This window comes from Homo sapiens, chromosome 6 (assembly GCF_000001405.40).
Source record: "Homo sapiens chromosome 6, GRCh38.p14 Primary Assembly".
NCBI classification, from domain to species: Eukaryota; Metazoa; Chordata; class Mammalia; order Primates; family Hominidae; genus Homo; species Homo sapiens.
In genome coordinates, this window is record NC_000006.12 from 1284062 (window position 1) to 1301007 (window position 16946).

General features: G+C 41.2%; 1 long non-coding RNA gene across 1 annotated transcript, besides 1 other annotated feature; it reads right to left on the reverse strand.

The window, feature by feature from the left end:
* Nucleotides 1-874: 874 nt before the first annotated feature.
* On the reverse strand, nucleotides 875-10440 carry LOC105374879 (uncharacterized). The gene is made up of 2 exons (XR_001743918.2): nucleotides 2877-10440; nucleotides 875-2490 (listed from the first exon to the last, which is right to left on the reverse strand). It is a non-coding gene; the product is annotated as an uncharacterized LOC105374879 (long non-coding RNA).
* Nucleotides 2496-3695: an enhancer, noted in NCBI's record as "CDK7 strongly-dependent group 2 enhancer chr6:1286792-1287991 (GRCh37/hg19 assembly coordinates)". NCBI's record gives its function as "activates an origin of replication core promoter dependent on BRD2, BRD4, P300/CBP, MED14 and CDK7 cofactors, with strong dependence on CDK7, by STARR-seq in HCT116 cells {active_cell/tissue: HCT116}" and the evidence as "EXISTENCE:reporter gene assay evidence [ECO:0000049][PMID:35650434]".
* Nucleotides 10441-16946: the final 6506 nt, after the last annotated feature.

Genomic DNA, 16946 nt, shown 5'->3' on the forward strand with positions numbered 1-16946 from the left:
GATAGTTTTGCAAATGCCCTTTGGTATTAATTGACTATTTACTATGTGTTCCAAACTATTCCTTAGAAGACATGGAAGAAAACTACAAAGGATCCTTCTCGCAAGTCCCCAGACAATAGCCAGGTGGGTTTCTTTATGATTTTATGAAAAGCACATTATTTTTAGTTTAAAATATGGATTTTTGCTGTATACTGGACTGGAAATCAGGGCCAGAAATTATAAATCTGTTTAAATGTAAATTAACAGGTAATAATAGTAATGGTCTGTACAACCATCATTGTACCTTATTCACCCATTGCAAGAGAAAATACAGCTGTAGGTGAACAGTTTGACAGTTGTGTTGAAACAGCCCAGATTTACTGTAAGTTTTCCATGAGCAAAACTACAATGTTTATATCAAGCTGTAGTCTTTCTGAAAGTAGATATCCAAGCAGTCCAGTAACATGAAGAGACAGAGTTTAATTTCAACTCTACCAGTTTAGTCAAGCAACTTAAACTGCTTTCTTTCTGAATGCTCTCATAGCAGCAATGGGTTAGTAATGCTCACGTGTGGGGCTGCCTAAGGCATGAAGTAGGCCAGCATCTCTGGGGATGCCTAGCACAGTGCTCAACAGGTAGAGCCTTCTCTATAAATATTGATGAACTCTGAGCCCAGACCTATAGTTTCATATGAATAAATAGGTACTGAGAAAATGCAACATTCATGGTTAGCCACATGCTCTAAAAATTTAAAAATCTAAATTAAGAAATACATCCTGACACTGAATGCAGGTTAATTAATGTAGCTCATGGATAGAATTTCAAAATGAAGGTAGCAGCCAATAATAATGATAGTAATGACAATAAATATTATTCAGCACCACTATGCATCAAATATTGTGCCGGACATTTAATCCTCACAGTGACTTTATGGGAAGGTATTATCACCCCCATTTTACAGATATGGATGCAGATCTAGAACAAGTGGTGGCTGCAACAAGAGATGAGGGAAAAGCTGGGGCCCTTAGGTCTAGGAGGCAGTGAGACCCAGCTCAGCCCCAGGTAGGCTTCCTGTAAGTGGCCCTTCCCCCAGTGCAAGTGCAGCTGAGTCCTTCCTTCCTCTAATCAGGCGTCAGCATATTATAAATGGCATGAGAGAAGAGGAAAACTTGCAAGGTATTTAGGAAAGAGTACGGAACTGAAGAGGGCCAATTGCGTGAAGCCAAAAGCAAACAGATAGATGCACTCAATAATCTGGAGAAGTGAGTTGGCAAGGAAGCATTTCTCCTTGTGAATTCATTTACTGGCACCATTTTCTCTAAATTTTGGCCTTTAGGATTCTCCAGGTCAACACCCTCTTCCAGGCTTCAAGCAAGTCATTGGCTTCAGCATCTGTGAAACCCAAGGAATGTTATGTAATTGTCTCATTCTCGTGCATATGTATGTTCTTCTAAGGAGAAGGCTCCCAGTGTTCATCAGATTCCAAAGTAATCTATGAGCTGAAAAGGGTAGAAGCCCTGCTCCAGACTGCCTCCGCTGAGAGCCAGGCATTGCTCTGCAGGGATGAAGCTCCACTTGGATCCTGCCCATGGCCAGCTGAAGCCCCTTCTGCCTCTTGGAAGTCCTGGAGCCACTTATTTTAAGAACATGGCCTGTAGTGTGGATCTTCAACTGCTGATTGCAATGGATTCAACGTCCCTTGACCGGGCAGTGTGCCAGGGAAGCTGCATTTCCTCCGCAAAGGCTGGCAGAAAAACTTAGGCCCCAACTTAACAGAAAACACGAAGGAGCCAGAGTCAGCTTTCCTTTTACAGTCAGAGGCTCCCCACACTGGTGGTGAATCCTCAGCACAGGCGAAAAACAGGAAGGGATAAAAATGAAGGAAGTCTCTTGGCCAGTGGTCTTGAAGTGTTCCTTCCACACGGGTCCACTTCAGCCTGCCTGTGGGCATCCTCTCCTTTCTGCAGTGGTTACTTGCAGTGCATCTCAGCCTTTCTACTGGAGTTCCATTCTCCACTTAGGGCCAAGCAGCCTGTCTAACCCACGGTGCACACAGGAATGCAAAATATCCCCTGCTGTGTGCTGATGCCTCATGCAGCAGGAAGCAGTCCCAAGGTGTCCTGAAATTAACTTACCAAGTCGCATGCAGCATTTCCTTCCTTTTATTTTCGTTTGGAAAGAGACTGGAATGGAATGGAATAGACAGACTAGACTAGAACATATCTGAGTCATTGTGTGGTAATGACTTCTTGAAACTTTTGTTTCAGTGTGTGTGGTGGGGTAAGGGGGGATCACAATTTAAAATGTTGCCTCTCAGTCAGAAAACAACTTGGAAGGATGAATCTCAGGCCATCCACGGAGCTTGCACATGATGTCCAGGGCCTTCTGAAGGGCTGTGAAGTTGCAGGGTAAACAACAACAAAAGCAGCGGGACAGAGGGCCTTGATTCAGGTCCAGGAGGTGCTGGGTCCTCAGTCAAGTCCCACCGTCCCTTTGAGCCTTTCTTCTCATCTGTAAAATGAGGATAATCAGTCTCACTTCGCCTGCCTTGAAGGGTTGTTGTGCGGCTCAAACGGAACAGTGTTTGCTAAATGTGGTGCACATCATAGGACAAGGCTTATGTAAGGCATTTTGGAATTTTTATTTATAGTGGGAAGTTCAAACCAGGAAAAGAAGAGATGGATAATAGCGTTGTTCAGGGTAGGTTGCACAGGGTGCTATGGTTTGAATGTGTCCCCCAGAAATCATGAGTTGGAAACTTAACCCACAATGCAATGGTGGTGGGAGGTCGGGCCTAATGGGAGGAGTTGCATCACGACAGCTCCACCCTCATGAATGGATCCATGCCATTATAAAAAAGCCAGACCCTGCGAGTTCACCCTCTTGCTCTCTCTCACCTTCTCTTTGCCATTTTGCCGTGGAATGAAGCAGCAAGAAGGCCCTCGTCAGATGCCAGCCCCTCAGTCTTGGACTTCTCAGCCTCCAAAACTGTGAGAAGTAAATTTCCTTTCTTTATAAATTACTTAGTCTGTGTATTCTGTTATAGCAACACAAAACAGATTAAGACAGAGAGTGTCAAAGATCCCTCAAGTCACCCCACGTGGCAGTCTCGGCAGTCTCCCAGTTCTCCTGCATGTCCAGCCAGATGAGACTATCCAGGTAATGCCTCAGGAATCCTCCTACCGCAGTGATTCTAAGCAACACAAGCAAAGGAAGTTTCAAGTTTGTTTTGTTTTTAAGTGTTCTTGACCCTAGGGCTGGTATTTGATAGCACCTGAATGTCTAGGGCTGACCAGTTCTTTCTGGCTCACTCCACCCCTGCAGAGCCGTAGGAAACCCATGCAACTTCCTCATTGCCCATGAGGCAAGGCAAGTGGTAGCGCACGCCTCTTATGGAGTGAACACTACTGTTCTTTCTACTTCATGGGAAGGTCTTGCAAAACATTGGTTCTGTCTTCTTGCATGAATCATAGACTAAAGAATGAAGAAACACTTCTGAGTAACAAACAAGGAAGAAAGAAAAGGAAGCAAGCTGTGGTGATGCGTTCTTGGAACATAACTCCAAGTCAGTTCATAGGAGCGAAATCAACGTGTAGATCTTTGTGTAAGGTTTTGCTGCTAAAGGACAAAAAAAAAAAAACTTTCCTTTTCCTTTTTTTTCTGAGTAAAAAGATAACAGACACTCATAAAAATCAAATAACGAAATTAGATCCCAAGAAGAGGACAATGTAAGCAATTTAAAGCACATTTTCCCAAACTTGTGTCTTTTACTAAACTAAAAGATTGATACACATACATGGGCACAGTATAGATGTCATTTTCCACTCCATGTTTTCTTACCCATCCACATGACGGAGAGCTTTATCCATGATGGTGGATGAAAATCTAGAACACTGCTATTAGTAGTAGCATTCTGTCATAAAAATGAAGCAGGACTTATTAGTCAATCTCACTGAAGGATGTTTAAGTTGCTTCTGAATTTTTGTTTCTATAAAAAAAAATGCCAGGATAAACATTCTTATATATTCATTATTGTGCATTTGTTCAGTTATCTCCCAGGAATAAGTTTCTGAGAGAAGAATGACTGGGTCAAAAACTATCAGAATGTTCAACGTTAATGTATATTGCCAAATTGCCCTGCAGAAATGGGGCATCAGGTCCTACCATCCCAGAATTGCACAAGAGAACCCATCTCTCCACATCTAACCAACAGTGGTTACTGTCAATCTTTTCACCTGTTTTCCAATCTGATAAGTAACAAATAATATGTATTTGTTGTTTTAATTGCATTTCTTTGATTTCAGTGAGATGTTAAATTACTAATTGTTATCAATGCAAATATACTACTAGCAGTGACAATTGCTAATCTGCACTGAAAAATTTCTCTGCACCAGGCACTTTACTAAGCCCTTTACAGAATTATTTTCTTTTATCCTCACAATAACCCCTCAAGGCAGGGAAAATAAGTATCCCTATTTTACAGATAAAAACAAAGGCTTAGAGAGGTTACTTTGCTGAAGGTCATGGAGCTAGTAAATAGTGAATCCAGAACTCAGTCCAGGTAGATCTACCCCCAAAGCCCACACTGGGTAGCAAGCATTATCCTTCCATTTATTTCCATACACACACTCACTAATTCTGTGTTTCCTCTACGTATGTTTCCACAGGCGAGTTTTATGTCTTTATGACCTTTGCTCATTTTTTTTCAATTGGAGTGCTTATGTTTTTCTTATTAATTAGCAATAACTTTTGGCTATTAAGAATATTAATTGCCATTTTTAAATCTACTTTTTTCTCTATGAAATGTAATTATATACAATTTACAACTTTCACTTCTGTTTGTGATTAGTGCAATGATGTGAGTAATGACTTCAATAAGCCCTGAAGCCTGATGTCGTACTCCTCAGGTATAGGTGAGCGCAAGAAGCTTAGCCAAGCAGATGGGGTTAGATTTTGCTGGTAGCGCAGCCATGGACATTAAGAGGGTTGGATAAAAGTGCACACAGCAACAGGAATGGGGGATGAAGTGACAGAGAAAGCTAGCAGACAGGGTCGCACAGTTGCAATTTCCCCTTCGTGAGCCTCTATAGGAAAGGGGTCTCTTTTTCAGTTTTTCTCACCTTGCGGGACTTTTTCTGACACTTTCCCTTACTTCTGCCACCATATCCCAAGAACAGGAGTTTTGTCACACAGTACAGTTTTAGGGCTTCAAAATCTCTTCTTTTCATTCCAAAATTTGAATTAATCCTTTATCAAAGCAAAGATTAAGCTTTGACCACAGACCATCTTCCCTAAAGCAGGACAGGTGCCAAGGGGGACATGGGGGATTGGGGCCCAGCTTGGGTCCCACCAGGCACTGACTGGCAGTGTGACCATAAGGAAGTTGTTTTTCCATCCCCTGGCATTGGTTTTCTCACTAGTAGAATGGGGATGATACAGCCATGTCACAGATGGCTTTGAAATTATATAAGAAAACGTTTACCAAGCACCAATGCCTGTGTGACCCTGAGTGTTTAGAAGCTGGGCCTCTGCCGCCACCGGTGTCTTTAGAGATGGGGACATCCAAGTCCTCTAGGGCTTTCACTGGAGAAATGCGAAACACTGCTAGGACTCAGCTACCCTGCTACTAAACTAGCACTTCAGTTGACGTTTCTCCAAGATTGTCCCAAGAGACACTTCCAGAGCTAAACGGCAGGACAGCAAGACATTTCCTCGCTCCAGTTGCCCTCTTCTCCTCTGTGTGGGCACCAAAGCCCTTCACCTGCTGCCTCATCCTAGAATCCACAATTCCTTGCCTCAGTGACTATTGTTGAAATATCTGTCGTCCCCAAACCCTCTATCTTTGGCTTGGATTACACAGGATATAGTTATACTACAGAGTTATAGTATAAATGAAGCAATACCAGGATTCATTCAGAGAAGATTCCCCAGAACATCAGAACTCATTGGAAGTAATAGATGAGAAAGGCAATCCTCCTAATTTCCTACAAAGACCAAAACAATCCCTCCTTTGCTGATGCCGGCTAGTTAGTTCCCAGCCATCCCTCTCCACCCCCAGCACGCCCCTCCTTTGGCCTTGGGGTGGGTTTATTGTCATAGCACCCTTCGTTTGCAGAGCAATGTAGATGTAGAGGAAATGGAGTTATGTGCATGGAGCCCCACTCTTTGCCAAGCACTGTAAACACACCTCATCCTCACAGCAGCCCAATGAGATCCCTATCATCACCTACTTAACAAAAAAGGAAGCCAAGATCCAGAAGTCTGAACAGTTCCCAAAGCCACATAACTGGCCAATGACCAAAGTGCAACTCCTACCCAGCTGCATGTGCCTCCAACGCCCCTCGTCGCCCCGCCATGCACTCATCCTTACAAAGCACTTTCACATGTGTTTTCTTCTTAGTCTGCCCCCAAATCCTTCAAAGTAGCACAGCTCCCTTCCCACTGTCTCCATTTATTGATGTGGGGCTGAAAGAAGCTGCAGAATGGATTCTTATCCTCACTGAGTGGCATGTGGTGCCTCTGGAGCCAGGACCCCAGGCATGGGCCTGCACCCCACCCAGGTAGCCTCCTACAGCCAGGCCTGGGATGGAGAGCAGCCACCTGAGAGCTCCAAAGTCCTCCACTGAAGGAAGACAAAAATATTTACCTTGTTTCTGTGATCAAAAATATTCTACTTAGAAATACTTCTGGATATTTCAACAAGATCTAAGTCCACATTGACCAACTCACTGGGGAATCCTGACTTCAGGGGCCCTGGACCCCCAACCCTCCTCCCCAAGAGGATCACTTAGCTTCAGCAAGAAGGTGCTGCTGTATAGGCCTTCAGCCCCAGCTGGAGGTCATCTCCACAGCTCCTTTTACTTGTAAAAGTTTATCAGTACAACCAGCCCCTGAGGGCCACAGAATTAGAGGTAAAACCAAGCATAGCTCTGAAGGAGGAAGTATCGAACTGCAGCCAAAACAAATGTTGCCTGAGACGAGGGATTAGAATAAAACTACAAGAAGAGCTGGCACAATAAACACACTTACGCTGCATTATTCAAGGGCATGAGGTATGAAGGGCAGCTCACCTTGGAGAATGCAATCGTCTGGTCAGCTTGCAGCCATTTTAAGCTGCATTCAGTGAGGTGTCATTAAGGCTTTGGAACATTCTCACTGGTATCATAGACTTTTTGAACTCAAAAGGATCTTTGAGACAATCCATTCCCATCCTCATATCTAACAGTTGATGGAACTAGTGTCCAAATAAGTTCAATGACTTACTCAAAGTTATTTAGCTGGTCAGTAACAGAAAAGTGACCAGAAGTCAGGTGCAGAGCTTCAATAACATCAACACAGATTGCCAAGCCCTCAAAGACACTGTTTATGTGCACATACACAGGCACATGTATACACGTGCATATGTGCACACAGACACATACATATGTGATGCAAATGTAAGCACACATGCACATACATACATGCGCACGCATATACTCACATACATACATGCGCACACATATACTCACATACATACATGCACACACATATACTCACATACATACATGCGCACACATGCACATGCATACATGCGCACACATATACTCACATACATACATGTGCACACATACTCACATACATACATGCGCACACATATACTCACATACATACATGCGCACACACATACATGCACACACATGCACATACATACATGCGCACACATATACTCACATACATACATGCGCACACATATACTCACATACACACTTCACTCAGACTCTACACATCATGTTTTTATCAAGCCTTTCTGGGCATCCAAGCAGGATATAACTTGGGTAACGTGGCTGAGCATGCAGCTGACTGAGAGGCACACTGCACCGGGAGGGACCTTGCTTACCATTAGCTTTATATTTATACCTGTTGTTCCTTGACAGCCAGGCCAATAACAGCACCGACCTAGTGGACTGTACTAGGTTTCCCAAACGACTGTGTGGGAAAATGTTGACCAAGGGCTCTGAATGGTGCCTGGTGCCTAACAGATCCTCATTCATGTCCTAGATGGGGCTGTGTCATTTCTTACAAGGCAGGAAACAAATGCAGTGTAAGGAGCAGGGCTTCTGTGGTCAGACCACCCTGGACCGGGACCCCTATTCTGCTCTTAACTCTGGGCAGCTTGCCCACCCTTGCTTGGCTGTGGCACCCATGTATACATGAGTTGTTGTCAGGAGTGAATGAGGTGATGGCACTGGTTGCCCAATTGCCAGCAAATATGAAGTGCTCACGAACAGAAAGGCAATCCAGGGTGCAACTTGCATGTCATAGAGAATCACACCAGCCTACCTCTTCTTTTCCAAAAATCCAGGTCTACAGTTTCCTCCTTGAGGGTGATTTTTGTAATCCTGCAGCACCAGGATGTGTTGGCTGTGGCCTGGAGTCAAAGCTCCAGGAACTTCCGTAGAAGAAAAGTTTCTCCAAAACCCTTTCAAAAGTCACCTAATCAGGAAGTCTCTGCAAAGGGATTTGGAACTGACTTGGATGGGTTCTTTCCTGGTAGACACTCAGCACTTGATCTTCACTATATTACTCTCCACTTGTTGCTAAATTCCTTTCTAAGCATCTCAAGTCATTTCATCTAGGTTTGCTATTCTCAACTCCATCACAATGGCCTGGGGAACAATAATTACCCTTGTCAGCTAAGACAGCATGTCCACCCAGTAGGAACTCAAGAGCCTGCTGCCAGAATATCTTTCCTTCCACCCTACCCTAACCGTGAAGTGAGGCACCAACATTCTTTAAGGAATTCTGCTGAAGTCACAGTTTCCCAGAGGCTCAATTTGATGCTGGGGAGAGGAGTGGGACAATCATCCCCCTCCCACATCACACATTCTGGACACGAGCTCCTCTTCAGGGGCCAAGTGTGTGAGGCCAGATTCCATCAGGAGGAACAAGACAGAGACTTCGCAGGATGGCCTGGTCCAAGGACAAACTCAGACCCCCTGAGGGTCTCACACACTTGTCATGTGCCTGGTGAAAAAGCTCATTGCCATGGTCAGCCCTCAGAGCTAAAAATATTAGAAGCTAAAGTGGTAGAGAGACAGGAGAAAGAGCCACGTCAACTGAGGTGGGAAGGTTCCTGCCAGAAAGGGTTAGTGTCGAAAAAGCTCTGCACCCATCGCCCTCACTGTACACACACACACACACACACACACACACACACACACACCCTTTGCTGATGTGAAATGGCAAAATGGCTAGATCAGACATTTGGCCTAGACTGAGCATCTTCAGTCTCAAACCACACACACCATGGAAGCAGCCTCTGGTGAGGGCATGTCACAATTCATTGACTTGTTGAGCCTCCCCACAGGAAAAATATAGAAAACTGCCAAGGATGCAGCACCCAACAACATATGGCTCCCATAAATCACATTCTTATTCTCTAAAATCTTCATTATTTATGGAGCAATGGTCCTAAGAAGACTTTTTCAGGAAATTAAATTCATATTGAATTTAATCCTGCCTGCAACTCTTATTTTCCCAGTGAGGAAACAGCTACTGGGAGATGAAGTAGCTTGACAAGACTACACTGCTGGAAAGAGATAGAAGACTTTAAAAGAGACCACAAAGCTATAGTAACCAAAACAGCAAGGTACTGGCATAAAAACAGACTCATACACTAATAGAACAAAGTAGACAGCCCAAAAATAAATCTCCGCATTTACAGCCAACTGATTTTCAACAAAGGTGTCAATAGCACTTACTGGGAAAAGGACAGTCTCTTCAATAAAAGATGCTGGAAAAACTAGATATTTATATGCAGAACAATGAAACTAGATGCCTATCTCTGACCGTATACAAAAGTCAACTCAAAATGGATAAAAAGTTGAAATGTAAGACATGAAACTATGAAACTACTAGAAAAACAACATAGGGAAAATTATTCATGACACTGGAGTAGGCAAAGATTTTTTGGAAAATACTTCAAAAACACAGGCAACAAAAGGAAAAATAGACAAATGGGATTACATCAAACTAAAAAGTTTCCATACAACAAAGGAAACAATCAACACAGTGAAGAGACAACCTACAAAATGGAAGAAAGTATTTGCAAACTATGCACCTGACAAGGGATTAATAGTCATAATACATAAGGAACTCATACAACTCAACAGCAAAAATAATAATAATAATAATCATCATCCAATTTTAAAATGGGCAAAGGGCCTGAATAGACATTTCCCCAAAGAAGATTTACAAGTAGCCAGCAGATATATCACAAAATACTCAACATCATTAATCAGGGAAATGCAAATCAAAACCACAACCATATACTGTCTCACCCCAGTTAGAATGGCTATTATCGGAAAGACAAAAAGTAACAAATGCTGGGAAGGATGCAGAGAAAAAAGGAACTCTCTCATACACCATCAGTGGGAATGTAAATTAGTGCAGCCCTTATGGAAAATAGCATGGAGGTTCCTCAAAAAATTAAAAATAGAACAATTTTTAAATTTCAATAAAAATTTAAAATGTGATCCAGCAATGCCACTACTGGGTATCTATGCAAAGGAAAGGAAATCAGCATGTCAAAGAGCTATCTGCACTCCCGTGTTCATTGCAGCATTACTCACGATAGCCAAGATTTGGAATCAACCTAGGTATTCCTCAGTGGATGAATGGATGAAGAAAATGTGATACTGTATCACAGGAACTTGTACAAGTTAACCTGTATTCAACTGGTTTTATTCTTTTTTATGGCTGAATAATATTCCATTGCTTACATACAATCCTTAAATGGCTTTTAAAAATAGTAAAAGATAAAGAGAACATCGAAAAGGACCTACAATTTGCTATAATTGACATCAGCATCAGGGTAAACCCTGCAGCCCTCAAACCGGTTACTGCTGAATTGTGCATTCCCCATGGGATCCCACACTGCTTCCAGTGCCACAGCCAGATCCACACTAAACCCTTAACACATGGAAATGGAATGCCAGGGAGGGAGCTGCTAAGCAGCACTATTAATGCCAACACTCTCTTCTTTACTCAGCTATCAATATAAATTGAAGTCGGTAAAACTGTGAGATGCTTTCAATTAAACAGATGTATGCTGACATTTGTTTCCCCTCCCCCAAGGAAATATCTAACCTCTCTGTGGGAACTACCACAATTCATTCTAGCCTCAGCCCACCTCATTCTAGCCTGAGCCTACTTCTCACCCTAATCTTCCTCATCTGGTTGTAACCTCAGCCCAACTCTCATTCCAGCCTCTGCTGTGACCAGTTCTTTGTAGGTACAGCTCCTCAGCACCTTGACCCCAGCCCTCTCTGATGTCTGCCAGGACCTCTAGGTGCTCACACAGGAGAAATCTGGAAGTACAGGGGCCCTTGCCAAATGGGAGATGGAATCATGGAAAAGTCTTCACCCCTCCAGGGAAAAGCAGACAGCTCCTAAATCCATTTCTTAGGGCTCCTTGCTTCCCTCCCCTGCCTTCCTCTCCCTGCTCCTGACTTCTGCTCCCTGGCATCATTTCTCACATAAGCTACCTGCAGCAGCCCCTCTCACGCTGTGTCTCAGGGAAACCCCAGCCAAGACAAATCATTTCACGCAGTAAAATTTAATGACCATAGTTTTAGAATCAACAAACAGGACACGGCATCTTACAAAAGATGTTTCTGTGCCATTTCTCCTCCAGGGAGGCAGACAGGTGGGAAGACCTAGACAGAACATTGAATTGTACAGAATTCCAGAGCATCTCATTAGTTTGTGTAATTAGTCAGAGAATTTGAAGTAAGGCTATTCCCAAAATCGGGGCTGGATGGCTGCTGTACTTCTTCATGATGGTGAAAATAAAGTTGAGTTTTACTTCCCTTAAGAGAGTGAGACGAAGAAGTAAAGAAAATCAGGTCTCGTGTGGCAGTATGCCAAGGCCTAGCCACATCAATTCTGAGAGGTTGTCACCACACCTTAGCTTAGATGGCTGAAGTAGCTTTTAAAACATAGTTTCCAGAAAGTTGAGACGAAAAATCCCACACTAAACAAATATTTTAACTTGGAGAGAAAAAGATTGCCCTCTAAGGTGTACCTGGAGTGTGTGGAGGAAGGAATACTAATACCACAATACTCCAAAAACAAACAACACAGAGCTTGAGAAACAAATATTGTGCTTTACCAAATAGACAAAAGATCTTGGGCGCATTCCAGAAGGACAAGGGATACCGTAGATTAGTACGAGGAACCAGACAGACTGCCCGCACAGCTCAGAACCACTTTCGGGAGTATGCCTACACACACGACTTACTGAGCAGACCAGTGAAGACATGTCAACATACAGGCTGGTTCTTCTGCACAGGTGTGGTGAGTGGGGAGACTAAAGAGACCTTTCCCACTGTGTTTCAGGGCATGGGGCACAGGCGTGACACCATCAGGAGACTGAAGGAGGGAGCCTAGCTAAATGACCTTCTCCAAGTCCCTGAATCTTCTGAGCCCCAGTTTCTATGTCTTACAAAATTAGTCTGATAGTATCAAAGAAACATCCTAAGGAAGAAGATGTGAAAGGGCATTAGAGAAAGTGCTGTGTAGAAATAAATAATCCCATGCTTACTAGTACGAGAGCTGGGACAGACACTCACATTTGCTTGGAAAATCCTGTGTTCCTAAATCAGCCCCATAAACTAGCATGAAAGGAAGTCCTTAAGTAAATTTAGACTACAAACAGCTTGTACATACCCTTAAGCACTACAAAAGCATCCCTGTCTTATGACTAATACGTAAAGCCATTCTTGTTTAACTGAAGGCAATCTAAGGGTGCCTTCTCTCATGGCAGTACCACTTGAGCCCAACTTTAGCTGGAGCATAACCTTGAAAGGAGCATAACGTTGAAAGTAACATATGGATTGATATAATTGAGGCTGGCCTCCCGCCAATTGGTAAAAATTAGCCAACTTTTTCTTGAGCAAGTTAAAAAAAATCTACTTTGTATTTGAGCTCCAATTTATCATTGTAATTGATATTCTGAAAACAAGTGCATAGCTAGAAATAATAGTGCCATTTGCATAGTCTAGAAATTGAACCCAGCTAAAGCCCAGTGTCTGATAAACTAGCAAATTAAAAGCAGTGCTTTGATCTAGTTATGGAGCATCAGTAGCTGCTAAGATTACAAAAAGAGAGACAATATGGGCTCCTTTTGTGATGGAAAAGCAAACAATACCTTTAATGTAGTTTTATAAAAAAAAATCTGATCTGAATATGATCAAGGCTCTAAATCCAATTACCAATTAACAGGAAATGTATGTGGAGGAATATGTTAAAAGACATCATGGGAATGCAATCAGTAAAATCCAGAATGTTGGAAACTGTACAAACATTTCAGGTTTTGTTCAACAAAACAGGATGGAAAGAAAAAGAGAGAGAGAGTGAAGGGTAAAGGATTGACTTAATTACTTATTAAATAAAGGTAGGAAGACACACTGACCAATATAAACATGCTTACTTTGAGTCCTGATTCAAAATGCATAAACGGTTTTTAAAATGCGTGATTTTGATTTTTGACCATGAAGAAGAAACTGGTATAGGATTTTCTTCCCCTCCAAAACTAAAAGATAATTATACAAAAATGTTTAAAAACATCTTTTTCAGACACAGGATATCAAACAATGTAAGACTATGATCCTGAGAAAAGAAAGCAAAGGAGCTGAGTTTTACAACTGTCCTGGATTTCTGCCTGACAGCGACTTTTAAACAGCATGAAAGGGACAGGGGAGGCCAGGAAAAGCACCACAATCTCCCTGAGTTGAAGAGAAACAGATCAGGCTTTGGAGAGGCTGATCCAGCTGGAATTGGTAGAGCCAAGTTCAGAGACAAGTGAATTGTGCAAAGAAAGAGTTACGGAGATCTACAGAGGTGGCCCCTTGAGTCATTGGCTGAATATTAATCTGTACATTCATAGGGGGAAGATCCACAAGGCTAGATAAAGAACGGAAGAACTATAATCAAAACCATTCCCAGACTTGCACAAGGCTGAGAGGCATGCAAATTCTAACGAGCCAGAGCAGATACACCTTCTGGAACACTCAGAGCAATATGTAGAGATTTCAGAAGGATCAAACCTTAGTACTAGAGCTAACTTAGCCCTGAAGAACAGCCTATTCTAGAATTGTTCTAAAAAGGCTTTAAAGCAAGTCTAGTAAAGATTAATCAGTAAACATATAACTTACATATAACTTACCTGTCTGCCAAAACAAATTTCAGAATTTTTTAAGGAAGACAACTGTATCTAAATACTAAACAACAGAAACTCATGATGTCCTGCATCCAACAAAAAATTATTAGACATGCAAAAAATCACCAAATTATGACCCATAGCAAAAGGAAAAATCAGTCAAAAGAAACAGAGATAAATAACAGAGATGCTGGGAACAGCAGAAAATGATTTTATTATTATTATTTTTTTTTTTTTTTTGAGATGGAGTCTCGCTCTGTCGCCCAGGCTGGAGTGCAGTGGTGCGATCTCAGCTCACTGCAACCTCCACCTCCCGGGTTCAAGCGATTCTTCTGCCTCAGCCTCCTGAGAAGCTAGGATTGCAGGCGTGTGCCACCACACTTGGCTAATTTTTGTATTTTTAGTAGAGATGGGATTTCACCATATTCGTCAGGCTGGCCTTAAACTCCTGATCTCGTGATCCGCCCACCTCAGCCTCCCAAAGTGCTGGGATTACAGGCATGAGCCACCACGCCCAGCCTAAAATGGAAATTCTAGAAAAGAAAAATACAAGTTCTGCAGGGAAAAATTCATTGTACAATCATAACAGTTGATCAGATGCTACAAAAGAAAGATCAGTGAACACAAAGACACTATAGTAGAAAATATTCAACTAATGAGCAGAGAGGAGAAAAGACAAAAACAAAAACAGAAACTCAGTGACCTGTGGCATGATATCCATCAGTCAAACATACATGTAATTGGAGCCCAAGAAGATAGAAGGTGGCAAAAAAAATTTTTTTGATGAAATCGTGACTGAAAATTTGCCATTTCTGATGCAAACGATAAACCCACAGATCCAAGAAGCTCAATGATACCCAAGATAGATAAACACAAATAACATCATAATCAAATTGCTAAAAATTATTTATAAGCAGGAAAAGTTTTAAGTGGCTATATATATAAATATAAAATAACATGTATATTTTATATATATGTACACACGCACACACATACAGGTATATTTGTGATATATAATGTAACAAAAAGCACATTCACTGTTGCCTGGGGCTAAGGATGGGGCAGGGAGGTAGAATTGACTACAGGAAGATGAGGCAGCTTTTTGTGGAATCAAAATATTCTCTTTGATTATGATGGTGGTTATAGGTGTGTACACCCTTGTCAAAGCTCATTTAAATGTACTCTTAAAATAGGCAGATCTTATTGTGTGTAAGACATACCTTAACAAAATTGATTTTTAAACCATATGACATTTTTGGGATAAGTGATAATTTGAACATGCACTGAGTATTGGATGACATTTAAAAATTACTGTTAATTTTATAGGTACGAATGTGTTATTGTGGTTATGTTTGATTCTTATTGTGAGAAGTGCATAGTAAAAAAGTTACAGATAAAATTATACGATGTCTGATATTGGTCTTTTAAAAATGTAGGCAGCAGGGGAAAGAGAAGATAAAGCAATGTTGGTCATCAGTTGATAATTGTTGAAGCTGGATATTGAGTACACGGGAACCCACTGAACTATTTTATCTACTTTTATGACAACTTGAAACTTTCCAACATAAAAAATTCTTTTACATGCTTTAAACATATGAACTATGTGGTAAATTATTCAACTAAAAATGTAAACTGAGTAACTTTTTTAAGTGACAGAGGCTACAGGACATATACAAGCAAAAAGAATGATCTCTACCATCATGGAACTCATGATCTATGAAATGCCAAGTAATAAAAAAAATTATATGATAAGAGTAGATGAGACCTTTTATGAGTTGGGATTAGGTTCCAAGAGAATTAAACTCCACAATAACAGAGATTTAGACAAGATCGAGGTTTCTTTGTCTCTAAGATAAAAATCTGGAAATAGGCCATCAGAACTGGAAGCACTGTCAGAGCCATCAAAGCTGGCAGAATCCAACCTGCAACAATGCAGTTCACAATCATTAACTCATTTAACCTTTTGCCAGCCCAGTAAAGGAGGTACTGCCCAAGGTCAAATCTAAATGTGAGGATTTGATTCTGGATCTGAAACATTTTCCATGAAAAGAATTATAACATCCTCATATTTTTCCTTATTGCTTCACTATCAATACTCAGTTTAATTTCACCAAGATTAAAGAATTAGATAGAGGCTTTGTGGAAATTCTGAATTTTTGAACACTCTTAAATACACCATTATTCTTCATTAAGTCCAATTGCATATCATAATTTGCACATTCTTCTCTATTAATGTAGTATCACTAGCACTAGTCTAATATTTATTAACCAAGATTAGGATAATTTTCCAGCTCAAAGAAAATTATCTAGCTCAAAAAACAATAGAGCTTAAACAAAAATGAAAGGGAAGAAAAATAATTCAAACTCCCTGATAGGGAATTTTTAAATGGTAAAACCATTGATTGATTACGATCATTCCCTGAGAGGGCATATTGGTTCAACAAAGAATAGCTTGATTATAATCTGGCCTGACAACAAAGTTGGCCTCACAGACTGTAAGTGAATTGTAAAGGCAATGTAAAAAAAAAAAAAAAAAAAAAAAAACTTAACATGTAAAGGACTTTGAAAGTTAAGGTTGTAAACTTGAGATGCAATTCTATTTGTATATGAAAGTAATAGTAACACAGATAGATGTCTACATTCCTATAGCTTGGAAATAACTTGGCAAAGAAGTTATAGGAATTTCACTAAGCTCAAAAGGCAGAATTACAGCAAAATATTGTCAGTATTATGTAAGACAGGTTATTTTCATTTTTGCAAGCAAATA